Raw genomic sequence first — 12,961 nt, 5'->3', positions numbered from 1 at the left:
CACTCCATGCATGACTCACATCCTAGGGAGAGAGCATTTGCTGGCCTGCATATGCCATGAGCCTTTACCAGGTGGCCTGTCCTGAGGGAAAAGGGTTCAAGGGCAGAAGTCCCACAGATAAAAATGGCAGTGCTGTTTGCCTAAATGGGAAAGGGGATGTGCAGACAGAAGCATCACCACCACTGACACTTCCATCACCACCAGCTCCACCTCTGTTACAACTTCGCCACCATCACCATAACCACCATCACCACCTCTACCACCACCTCCACCACCACCAGCGTCACCACCACTAACACCTCCACCTCCATCATCACCAGCTCCACCTCCACCACCATGACCACCATTATCACCATCTCTACCACCACTAGCTTCATCACCACTAACACCTCCACTTCCACCTCCACCACCACCACTGTATTAGTCCATTCTCGCACTGCCATAAACCCCTGAGACTGAGTAATTTATAAAGAAAAGAGGTTTAATTGGCTGATGGTTCTGTAGGCTGTACAGGAAACATGGCTGGAGAGGCCTCAGGAAATTTACAATTACGGTGGAAGGTGAAGGGGAAGCAGGCACATCTTACATGGCCAGAGCAGGAGGAAGAGAGAGAGAAGCAGGAGGTGCTACACACTTTTAAACAACCAGATCTTGTGAGAACTCTATCATGAGAACAGCACCAAAGGGGGAAATCTGCCCCCATGATTCAATTACCTCCCACCAGGCCCCACTTCCAACACTGGGGATTTCAATTCCACATAAGATTTGGGTGGGGACACAGATCCAAACCATATCAACCACCACGACCACTTCCATCACCACCAGCTCCACCACTACCACCATGACCATCTGTATCACCACCAGCTTCACCACCATTGCCATCACCATCTTTAACATCATCTCTACAACCACCCTCCAGCACCACCACAGTAACCACTACCATCACCGTATCAATCACCACTTTCTTCAACAACACATCCACTGTCAAAATCACCACCACCTTTCCCATCACCATCAGTACCACCATCAGGATTACTGTCAATATCAATACCACCACCACCAACACAATATCAATATCAGTACCACCACCACAACAGTCACCACCTTCATCAACACACCCACCATGGAAATCACCATCATCTCTACCATCATCACCACCAGCAATACTGCCAATGTCAATACCACCACCATCACAATCACCATCACCACTATTACCATCTCTATCACCACCTTCAGCAGCACCATAATAACCACAACTAACACTGCCAATATCAATACCACCACCACGACCTCCAGCATCACTTTTACTACCACCACCAATACCCTACATAGTCACCATGATTACCACCGTCACCCCAACCACCATTGTTGCCACCCCATCACTGCCACCATGATCACCACCATCCCACCACCAACACTGACACCTTCAACATCAACACCACTGTAACAATCACTCCTACCATCACCTCCACTTCCACCACCACCACTACCGACACCAACACTAACACCACCCAAGATGGACGGTCCAGACTTCCACTCCCCTTTTTGTTGTCTGCTGACTGGCAAAATATTGATAATACAGTAACATGCTAAGGCCAATTCTTCAGACATTTGGGGTCTAGGAGCAATATTTTTAAAACCACCTTTGCAAAGATTATAACTGAGACAATTATTACAGCGAAAGAGATTTGACCTAACTGACTCCATCTTGTTTCTAACCTCCAAGCTGTCCTTGTTCATTCCTGGCCGTAGGCCAGACTAACTCTAGGAGGAACTTAGTTTATGGTTTAGCTTTGAAACAGAGATGATAACAGTCCTTTCCCAAAACAAACCCCCTTCCTGCCTGGGGACTAACAAATTAGCCACAAGATTAGAATTATGATTTAGGAGTCATGCAGCTGGAGGCTGCAAGATTCTAAACCTCCCCACGTTGCTCCTGGGAATAACATCACTGTTGTAAAATCTGGGATCAGTGCTTGAGATATTGCAGACCCTGAATTCTGATGTACCAGCTGACACCTCCCAGACTGGTATTTGTCTCAACCAGTTCTGCGATCCCACCCAGGAACAGAAGACAGCAAGAAAACCCCACTTCAACCCCCTCTGATTCCATCTCCAACCCGACCAATCAACACTCCCCACTTCCCGAGCCTCTACTCACCAAATTATCCTTAAAAACTCTGATCCTCAAGTTTTCAGGGAGACTGATTTGAATAATAAAACTCCAGTCTTCCGCACACAAGCTCTGCGTAAATTACTCTTTCTCTACTGCAATTATGCTGTCTTGGTAATTTGGCAGTGGGCAAGGTGAACCCCTTGGGCTGTTCCATTTGGGGGGGTGCAGCTTCCGATTCCCCACCCTGCAATTGCACCCTGGAGTCAGTGACACTTGGTACTGAACAGAAGTGTCACCCTTTTGAGGCAGGACGTTTCCCGCAGGGAAGAGGTGTCCACAACAGGACAAGACACCAAGGAGTGATGGACCTTCCTGACTCCTCTCCGCTAAGCAGAGGGAAGCTTTGTGGGGCACTCTTCTCTGAAGCGGCAGGGGCAGGAATGACTTGCTCTTGCCCTGTAGATTGGGCTCAGTCAACATCATAAGCAGAAGACTGAGCTACCGTCTCCATGGGCTGACATCCACTTTCCATCACACAGACTGGGATTAGGTGACTCACTGCATTTGCCATTCAACTAGACCTGGGTTGTGTTTAAATGGTGAAAAATGGCCAATTAAAAGTGGCCAATCTGGCAGTTTTGACTGTTCTAATAAGTCATTCAAATTTCATCATGGTTGGCCAGAACCACTATGTCATTTAGCAAGAGCCAAAATGTTTGTCTAGCATGAGTAACTTTGAGTGTATTCATTAGTACATGTTCAGGCACCTTTGTTCTTGAGCATGGAGTGTGTGGAAGTTGCATCTGCACTTGCCCTAAAACCTCACCTGAAGTCCATCCCTCTCATGAAGCCATTCCTGATCAAGCGGAGACTCAGCATCTCCCACAGAGAATGTTAAATGGGAAGATCAGAGCCCCAGCCTTCAACCTGAAGAGGAGAATGCCACGCAGGAGCCGGTCAGTCCTGTCCACGTGATGTGGGCCTTTGGGATTCAAACAAAGCCTGCTGCGCCCCACTGCACCCCAGGGTTCTCATGCCAGCCCTCTCAAGATTGTTTCTTAGAATCAGAGGCCCAGCCACCCCATTTGAAACACTTTCTGGTCCTCGTTAAGGACTGGTCAGCTCTGATGTAACCCAGAGCACTGACTGACACAAAACCATTGGATTGGCCAACAGTTTCACCTTTGTCACCAGTGGGCAACGTTCACGTTCACGATCACGGAGCTGGTGCAGCGTTCATGATCACAGAGCTGGTGCAATGTTCACGATCACGTTGCTGGAGCCGCGTTCATGATCATGGAGCTGGTGCACCGTAGGACTGGAATTTGAGCCCTGACCTTCTGTGTATTCCCCTGGTACACATCACTGTTGTCCCATTCGACCGGACACGTCTGGCAGATAGGATGCCCTTGAAGGAACATGCGTGACTCAGGAACTGTTTGACACAGGCCTTTCGACCTTGAAAATCTTGGAATCTTGGAATTAATCCTTGTAATCAAAGAATAACCCATGATTACAAATGTGAGGGATATGTTATCACTGCATTGAAACTACAAGGTTGCACTGTATACAGACCCTGGCATGCTATGGGCATACAGCGTGCATATCAGCAAGTGTGACAATGATGGGTTAATTTCATAAGTAGGAAGGCACAAAGCATAAATGTATGTAGGAGACATTCCCCCTAAAGGGCTGGGAGAATATAAGAGCATGTTTGAAAGCTGTACATGTGGTACAATGTTCACATATGTGCCTTGTACAGCATTCAAACGTGTTCTTACACAGACAGACACAGACACGCCTCTGCACCTGTTGGGTCAAGCAGTAAGAATCTAATGGTGACCACCTGTCTGGCCAGAACGGTCTTCCTTTTGGATTAGAAGTCTGGGCTATATCAGCTGGAGTTCTGGAACCAGCCTTGGTTTGGTAAACAACATTTTTCTTCCTCTCTCCACCCTTTGCATTTCCTTTCCTTGAGTTTCCTTTTTTTTTTTTTTTTTTTTGAGATGGAGTCTTGCTCTGTCACCTAGGCTAGAGTGCAATGGTACGATCTTGGCTCACTGCAACCTCTGCCTCCTGGGTTCAGGTGATTCTCCTGCCTCAGTCTCCCGAGTAGCTGGGATTACAGGTGCCCACCACCACACCTGGCTAATTTTTGTATTTTAGTAGACATGGGGTTTCACCATGTTGGCCAGGCTGGTCTTGAACTCCTGACCTTGAGTGATCCACCCGCCTCGGCCTCCCAAAGTGCTGGGATTACAGGCGTAAGCCACTGTGCCCGGCCTCCTGGAGTTTATTTTATCCAGTGTTGACCTGCCCCCTCTCGGAACCTGGGTTAGCCTGCCTGGTGCTTGAGGCAGGGAGCTGGCCACGCTGCGCTGCTGTCTTGTAGGTGCTTCTCAAGGTGCTTTTTGTTGTGATTCCTCCAGTGCCTCTGGTTTTCGCTTTCCCTTTTCTTGGGGCTTGTTTGTGTTTAACCAAAGTTCAGGGCCCTTGGGGTAAAACAGGACCTTGTTCAGGAAACTACCATTAAGCAAGCAGCAAGTCAAACAACGAAAGTACAAACAAGCCCAGGCCCCTCCCAAGATACACAGTCCTCCAGGATGTAGGCTCCAGACTCTGGGTCCTTCTCCACGCCCACCGTTCACGCCAAGGGATGCGGCAGTCCGACGGCCTCTGGGAATCGCAGGGCCTTGGTCTTGGGAGCTGCTCTCCTGCAGTGTAAACTCAGTGACTCTCATTCAGGCAACAGACCTCTCCAGGTCGTCCTTGTTCAGGCGGAGCACTTGGTTCCTCAGACCCCCATCTGTACCAGAGAAATGGCGTTAAGGCCTCACAAAGTAGTTTTCACTGAAGAGAATCCCGTGTCCTACCCTTGTGCGTCCGAATCACCTCACGGACCTGTCATGAAGAGGCTCTCCCTTCTGCGGGCTCACTCTGACCTTTCCTTTCCCCCGTGGTTTCCATCACTGACTCCATAGTCAGATGGCTCAGGACCTCCCAGGACGCACCGGCCCATCGAACCATCCAGGGGTGCCGCTGTTCCCAGCCTCCCGACACCCCCACACGGACTTCTCTTACCACCTGTGTTAGGCCATTCTCGCATGGCTGTAGAGTAATACCCAAGGCTGGGTAATTTGTAAGAAAAGTGGCTTAATTGGCTCACAGTTCTGCAGGCTGTACTGGAAGCATGGTGGCATCTGCTTCTGGGGAGGCCTCAGGGAGCTTCTGATCATGGCAGAAGGCAAAGGGGAGCAGGCATGTCACATAGGATGGGAGAGACAGGGAGAGAGAGGGAGAGGGACAGAGGGACAGAGAGGGAGATGGAGGGAGAGAGAAGGAGAGAGAGGGAGGGAGGGAGAGGGAGAGAGTTAGGGAGAGGGAGAGAGGGAGAGAGGGAGAGGCAGAGAGGAAGAGAGGGAGAGAGTCGGGGAGAGGCAGAGAGTTAGGGAGAGAGGGAGAGAGTTAGGGAGAGGGAGAGAGGGAGAGGGAGAGAGTTAGAGTTAGGGAGGGAGAGAGTTAGGGAGAGAGGGAGAGGGAGAGAGTTAGGGAGAGAGAGGGAGAGTTAGGGAGAGAGTTAGGGAGAGAGGGAGAGTTAGGGAGAGAGTTAGGGAAAGGGAGAGAGTTAGGGAGAGAGGGAGAGGAGGAGAGTTAGGGAAAGGGAGAGAGGGAGAGGGAGAGAGTTGAGGGAGTTAGGGAGAGGGAGAGAGTTAGGGAGAGGCAGAGAGTTAGGGAGAGGTATCACATGGCTTTAAATGATCAGAACAGGGAGTCGCGGAGCTCACTCATCACCAAGGGGTGGCTCAAGCCGTTCAGGAGAGATCCTCCGCCATGCTGCCATTGCCTCCCACCAGACCCCACCTCCAACTCCAACACTGGGGATTACAATTCAACAGGAGATTAGGGCAGGACAAATGTCCAAACAGTATCACCACCAAGCCCACATTTGGGGTGCGCCTCGCTGTGGGCTTACAGCCTTTTTCCTGGATGGATATTGCTGGGGGGGGGGGTTGCATTTGTTTTGAGGCAAGCGCTGCTGTGTTAAAAATTAGAGTCTAGTCTACTACAAATAATGAGTCAGAAGCAGCCCCATCTATCCAGTCCTTGCTGCCATCCTTCTCCCAACCAGCGGCTGTTTTTGTAGGATCCGCAGGTTTACACACGGGCCTGACTTTGTAGGAGGGAAGGGCTGCCCGGGAGCTACCGTGACCTCTATGCTGCCGCATTCTGCAAGAAGGTGCTTTCTACGGGGAGGTGGTCCCCTGGGCGTCTGGGTGTGAAGGATAAGCTGCCACCCACCACCCCCTCCGGGCACAGGTGGCTGCGACAAACAAAGAGGAGCTTTCTTGAAGGATGGGAGGGTGAGGGGCCCCAGCAAGGAGATGACGGAGGTCTGAGGACAGAGGTGTCCGTGAGGAGGGCACTTAAGACAGTCAGCCCCAATATCCAACTCTGAATTGCAGATGTTTGGGCTACGATGGAACCTCCCCGCTGCCATCCCAGCCCCCATTCACTGTCCACAGGTGCCAGCCTTGCCCAGGCTGGTAAGGGGCGCGGAAGGCATGGCCCTGGTGGCCAGGCATGGAGGAGAAAACCCACAGGGCGCCGAGCAGATGTCCTTGGAATGAGAACGTGGCAGGAAGGCACGCGGGAGGGCTCAGGCCTCTCTGTCCAAGGCAGAAGCAGGTGCGGAGGTTGGGGGCCCAGGTGGGGTCGCCAGGACAGGGACCCGGCAGGGGGTGGTCCTGGGGTAGCGTGTGAGGGAGGTGGGCTGTGGAGAAGCGCAGGCTCCCTCCCACCCGGAGGCCCCTACTGGCCCCCTTTGTCTTAGGACCTCTTGGAAGTGGCACTGTCTCCTGAGGAGGACACGCGACATCCCCCAGGACCCCGGGCGGGACGGCGGCGAGGAGACCAGGCCCGCAACAGGCCTCACCCTGCTCTGCCCCAGAGCCCGCCTGGCCCCAGCCCACGCCCTGGGCCCTCCGGGAGCTTTCCTGGGACCGAGCCTGGGCGCCGCCCGCGCTGCAGGGGAGGTCGACTGGGTCCACCTCCGCGCGCCCCGATGCGCAAGTGGCCCGTTACGTTTAAATTAAAGAAACGGTTGGAAGGCGTTAATTCGACGCGCGCGGGGCCCCGCGGGTAGAGGCCGCCTGCCCAGGTCCCCAGCAGAGTAGGTTCGGGCCTTCCCGTCCGGGCCAAGGGCGCGGCTTAGGCCCCCGCCGTCCCCAGGGACAGTGCGACCCCCAGCACCGGGCCGGGCGGGGAGCGGCGGCAGGCGGGGAGGGGATCGGAGGGCCAGGCGGGGGGCAGGAATGCAGGTGGGAGGGGACGCGCGGGGCGGGGGGCGGACGGGGCGTTCCGAGCGGGGAGGGGCGCGAGCCGGGGCCGGGGAGTCCAGGGCCGGGCGTGGGGCTCCGGGCCGCGGCGCCTGCGAGTGGGGAGGGAAGGGAGCCGGGCGGGCGGGGGGCGTGGCCGGGGCGAGCGGGGCTGGCCGGGGGCGTGGCCTGAGGGCGGACGCGCGTCCGGGGGCGGGGCCCTGCCGCCGGGGGCGGGGCCGGGGCGGGGCCGGGCGCTGTCCGGTGCTGAAGCTCGGCCCGGCGTCGCCGCAAGAGCGCGAGAGGCGCGGCGGGAGGAGCCGGCGGCGCGCGCCTCCCTGGGCCCGGACTCGGCCGCCTCCCGCCGCCTCCCGCGCGGCCATGGACTGAGCGCCGCCGGCCAGGCCGCGGGGATGGGGCCGCCGCTCCCGCTGCTGCTGCTGCTACTGCTGCTGCTGCCGCCACGCGTCCTGCCTGCCGCCCCTTCGTCCGTCCCCCGCGGCCGGCAGCTCCCGGGGCGTCTGGGTGAGTGGGGGGCGCCGGGGGAGGGGCGCCTCAATGAATTAGTTGGGGGCGTTGTGAGAGGGGCGCCTCCGTGAGGGGGTCTGGGTGGGGAGAGGCGCCACCCTGAGGGGTCGGGGGGAGAGGCGCCTCTGTGAGGGGTTCGGGGGGGAGGGGCGGCGCCTCAGTGAGGGGGTTGCGGGGAGGGGCGCCTCTGAGTGAGGGGGCATGCAGGGAAGGCGCCTCAATAAATGAGTGGGGGCGTTGGGGGAGGGGCGCCTCTGAGAGGTTCTGGGGGAGGGACGCCTCAATGAATGAGAGGGGGGCGTGGGGGGAGGGGCGCCTCAATGAATGCGGGGCGTGGGGGAAGGGGCGCCTCAATGAATGAGTGGGGGGTTTAGGGGAGGGGCGTCTCGGTGAGTGACGGGGCGGGTGGGGAGGGGTGCCTCAGTGAGTGAGTGGGGAGCGCGCCTTGGCGAGCGGGTCGGGGGCTCCGGGGGTCTCGGGGTTCCAGCGCGACACCCCCAGGCTCTGGGTCTCAAGCCCCCGGCCACGGGTCGCGCGCCTCTCTGTCCTCACTGGGGGCTCGGAGCAGGTCTCGCGCCCCTGCCTCAGTTTCCTCCCCGGCGCCGCCTCCTGCCTCTACCCCGGCTCCTGGGCCTCACGCCCCGAGCCCCGCCACTCGGCACTCCCCTGGCCCTGGAGCGCGCGGCCCTGGTCCGGCGTGGGTGCGCCCCCCGCTCGTGTTCCGCCGCGTGTGCCGCGAGGGGCCGGGCCTCGGATGTCCCGCTGCACCCGCTTCTACCTGCGTCCCCCGCACCCCCCCGCGGGCAGCGCCGCCGAAATCAGAGGACATTTTTCCTCCGTGGCAGCCGCGGGAGGAAAGGGAGGGCGGCAGCTTCACGGCAGCGAGGGAGTGGAAGCCGCTGCTTTCCCAGGCGGACGCCCCTGTTTTAAACCCATAAAACCTCCAGTCCCCGGCACCTCCTTTCCTGCTAATCTTGTTTATTAAGAAGATTTACCATAAAGCCAATGTTTCCAGGCGGCTTCGGGGCCAGAATTACACATGACAGGTTAGGATAATCGGTGTCCACGGGGTGCAGAAGCAAACGCAGGCGGGGATGGAGGGGGGTCCTTCGCCGTTGCCCAGCGCCGCCTGCACCCACCTCAGTGCAGCTGGGCTCCGGCACCTTCCTCTCGGCCTCTAGGCCCTTCTGGTCTCCAGTAGTGCTTTATCGTCAAAATCCCAAACAAACAAAAACTGCAGAGAACCAGGAGTCTTGACACAGTCTCCCTGGACTCCTGAGTTGACGCTCCCCTCCCTCAAGCCAGAGTCCCCTGAATTCCTCCCTTGCCTTGAGGTTTCCTCACACTCCCTAACCTGCTTGTCTCTGTTAGAAGGAACACAGGCGCTGGGAAAGGAGGTCCTTGCTCACCTGCCTTGGAGTCCTGGGAGGGAGTGTCTGTGCTGGTCCCGCACCTCTGGGATGTAGCCCAGTCACTGTGCCCCCAGGGCCCAGGTGAAGCCCTCACCCTTCCATGCTGGAGCACGGGGGAGTCCTGCATGGGAGGCTTGGGGGCCTTGCTCACTCTGCCTCCTCCTGGTGCCTTGCCCCCTATCAGGAAAGAAGGCCCAGCTGTGCACCAGTGGCCTCTTGCTGGGGTTGTATTCCTTCCTCCAGCTGGCTTGACCTGGCCAGTCACCTTATGGGAGAGTTGTTTGCTCTGAGGCCAGGTGCCGCCCTTCACCTACACATGAAGCACACATGGGCGTGGAGTGTCCCAGGGAAGGTAGGTCATTATGGTGTGAGCTGGAGGCTGGTCCTTGACTGCTTTCCTTGCCATTGCAATGGCTAGTTCACAGCATTCTTCCAAAATCACAGAGAAAGTCAGAAAGGTGGGGGGTAGCTGAGAGAGGCAGCAAAGGAAAACCCAAAGATGGAAGTGCATGAAGAGAGGAAAGCTGCTAAACTGAATGATAATGCCCAATGCAGCAGTGTTATTTTGGCTACCAGCAAAGTTGACTCATATAATTAAAACTGGTGCCATGTTTCCCTCGGCTCTGATCACGGTGTCACTGGTAACAGAAGGCTGTGTCATAAAGAGACTTATGGACACACTTATTTTGTGGGAAAACATTAAGGATGCAGACATCGTTGAAATTGTTTCGAGGACTCCAGGTGAAAGGCATCACCTACATTCTCAGGTAATTGGAAACTGCCCCAGTGGTATAGACAAAGAGTGAGATGTATATGTGGTCTTCCCATTGCAGGAGCCACCTTGGGGCAGAATGTGGCCATGTGTCAGCTACCTATGTCCCCTCCACCTTGTACCATCCTCACTCAGTGTTGCTGCCATTTTGTCAGAACACAATCCACGGAGAATGCAAGGAGAAGCTTTCTTACCTGTGCCGGGCAGGTGCTGCTATTTTTCTTTCTCTCCTGTCTGGATCTTGTTTGGCAATGGTCACGCCAACTACATTGTTCCAAATAATGAGGCTCGATTAAAGATGCACAGAGCGGCCTTAAATCCGGCCCAGCTGTGCCATTTGTAATCTATTTATTTATTTACCTATTAACATTCAACTTCACGTTGAGGCCTCCAGAACACATGTGGTTCAAGGAGATCCAAGTTTTTGCTCCTCTGTTACGTCAAACAGCCTTGTAGGTTAGAACTAGAGGTTGATGTTAACAAGACCTAAAGACCAATTCTTTTTATATAGGATGCCTTGTCTTGAGCAAGGGGCCTTTCTCATGTTGACAGTGAAGGAGCTCTTGATGAAACCCAGGGTCGATAACTGCTGTCTCTGAGTTTATTCTCGTGGCCTTGAGCCGCACTCCACGATGCTGACTTATTTCCAGAACAGCTGTTGGCAGCACCCTGTGGTAGTGGAAGTCTCACTGCTTCCTCTCTTTTCCCCTGATTTATTTAGTTTCCTGCCCTCCCATCACCCACTCTGCCTGTTCCTTTCTGGTCGGAAGGGCTCCCTTATGGCATTAATTAATTATCTGTGAGACCATTATCGAAGCTGAACACAGGGGAACATGGCATCCTTTCTAGTGACACGATTCAGCTTTGCTTGTAGCCAAAATAACATTGCTGTGTTATGCAGGGCTGTTCAGACAGCCTGATGGTCTTTTCTTCATATGCTTCAGTCTTTGAGTTTTCCTCCCGACCGGCCCGCCTTTCTCTGTGATTTCAGGGCATCCTTTGTGCAGGTCTCAGTGCTTTTTCCTTAAGTTTAACTTGAACATAAGCCCTTTGTTAAGGGCTTTACGCTGTTCTTCACTTACATGGAGGCTGACTTGTGAACCTGCTCAGGTGGCCCCTATGTTTAGGGGGGCAGTTTTATAAAGGCCCCCCCTTCCTTTTGCTAAAGAAGCACAACTTTCACTTGCCAATGATAGAGTCAGCCTTTCATGCAGATTTTGCTTCGAGAATCCAGATTCAGAACCAGTGGGTGCACCTGGCTGTGAAGACAGGAGATTGTTCATTTTGCTCCTTTGTTTTGGCCTTCCGATTTGCCTACACAGACTTTTCATTCACCAGGGAGCCCACACAGAGCCGAGAGGCAGAGCCATCGGAGCAGGACTCTGCTGGCTTTGTGAAGGAGATGGCGTGATTGTTTATTTTTAAATCAAAGGATCCTTACTGCCACAAAAGCACAAATCTATCTTTACTTCTTGGGGTCCAGAGCCTCTGATTCCGTTTGGTTGGATGGTAATGAGCAACCTGTCCCTTCCCCCAAGAAGAGCCTGCTCCTTGCACATCTGTGAGCTTCTCTGCCTGTTGTTCCCTGTCTCTCCTGCTCGGTCTCCATCAGCCTAAGGGCTGATGTTCTGGGCAGAAGGAATGGGGTGTGTTGTAACCCTAGGCTTCTGGAAGAAGGAGGTGCCAGACAATGGGTTCACTCATGAAGCTAGATTCAGGAAGCAGGATGTAGGGTGTCAGGCTCAGAAGGGATGGGCAGGGAATGGAAGAGCTTTTAAAATGACTTCTTCTCAGTGCTGAGCTTAGCTGTGTGTTAGCGTCTGGCAGCTCTTCTTCCAAGCTGATTTGTTTTTGTACCTGGTGATCAAGGTCAGTGGTGCCTGCCAGGGAGGGGAGGTGGGGGTGGGCAATCACTTTGTCATAGTCCTCTCTCTGCTTTACTCCGAGATGGTGTTGGGCCCCATCATGGTGCACAGCGGGAATCTCTGTGTGCTATGAAACATGTCAGCATGTTGGGTCTCCAGCTTCCTGTGAAGAATAGGGCTATCGACACAGGGTACACGGGACAAAGGTTAGCTGGTGTGATGTGCAGTCCAAGGCTCAACATCCCAAGGCCCCATCTTCTGATGAACTCTGTGGTAACACTGATCATTTTATGTGACAATAATTTCTGCATTCTGGGTTTGTTTTGTCCTAGTGTTCATGCGGGATTACCTAATTTTTGGATGCAGTTACTCATCGACTTTTCTTTAGATTTTGAAAGTGAGGAATATGGGACTAGGAAGGGGAGTGAAGCCTCAAGGAGACATAGGGGTTCAGCTAAGCTGTCATCAGACATGGTCTCATTAAGAAAGTTCCACTCAATGCAACTGGCTTTGCGGGTGAGCCATGACTACTGCCTCTTGGAGGGTTACCTTAGAATTTCAAATTCCTCATGAAAAAGTGTTTGCAGCCAAACATCACCCAAACTAATAATAGCTCCCTGGCATTGGGTGACAGATATCTAAGATATGCCTGGATATGTGTAAATATTACTAGTTTAAGGATTCTTTTTTTTTTTTTTTTTTTTTTTTTGAGATGGAGTCTCGCTTTGTCACCCAGGCTGGAGTACAATGGCGCAATCATGGCTCATTGCAGCCTCGAGCTCCTGGGCTCAAGCAATCCACCCATCTTAGCCTTCTGAATAGCTGGGACTACAGGCACATGCCTCTGCACCAGGCTAATTTAAAAAAGTTTTGTCTTAGTTTGGGTTCATGAGTAAATATAATAACTAAAAAATGAACAAAAAATATTAAAAATGAATTTTTTTTTTTTTGAG

At 54.0% G+C, this 12,961-nt stretch overlaps 1 protein-coding gene, 1 long non-coding RNA gene and 1 other non-coding gene across 14 annotated transcripts in view; 1 reads left to right on the top strand and 2 right to left on the bottom strand.

Annotated features, from left to right (window-relative positions):
- LINC01022 (long intergenic non-protein coding RNA 1022) lies at positions 3,581–4,885 on the bottom strand. The gene is made up of 2 exons (NR_132379.1): positions 4,707–4,885; positions 3,581–4,608 (listed from the first exon to the last, which is right to left on the bottom strand). It is a non-coding gene; the product is annotated as a long intergenic non-protein coding RNA 1022 (long non-coding RNA).
- Positions 3,818–3,898, bottom strand: MIR5707 (microRNA 5707). Its single transcript, NR_049893.1, has one exon. It is a non-coding gene; the product is annotated as a microRNA 5707 (primary transcript).
- Positions 7,691–12,961, top strand: part of PTPRN2 (protein tyrosine phosphatase receptor type N2) — a 1,048,768-nt gene continuing 1,043,497 nt past the window's right edge. For all 12 annotated transcript variants that reach the window (XM_047420678.1, NM_130842.4, XM_047420679.1 and 9 more), the window contains exon 1: positions 7,691–7,956. In XM_047420678.1, the coding sequence (XP_047276634.1) occupies positions 7,845–7,956 (112 nt within the window). In that variant the 5' untranslated portion in view covers positions 7,691–7,844. The remainder of the gene's footprint in view (positions 7,957–12,961) is intronic.

Source organism: Homo sapiens, chromosome 7 (assembly GCF_000001405.40).
Source record: "Homo sapiens chromosome 7, GRCh38.p14 Primary Assembly".
Lineage (NCBI taxonomy): Eukaryota > Metazoa > Chordata > Mammalia > Primates > Hominidae > Homo > Homo sapiens.
This window is presented reverse-complemented; position numbering and strand designations above follow the sequence as displayed.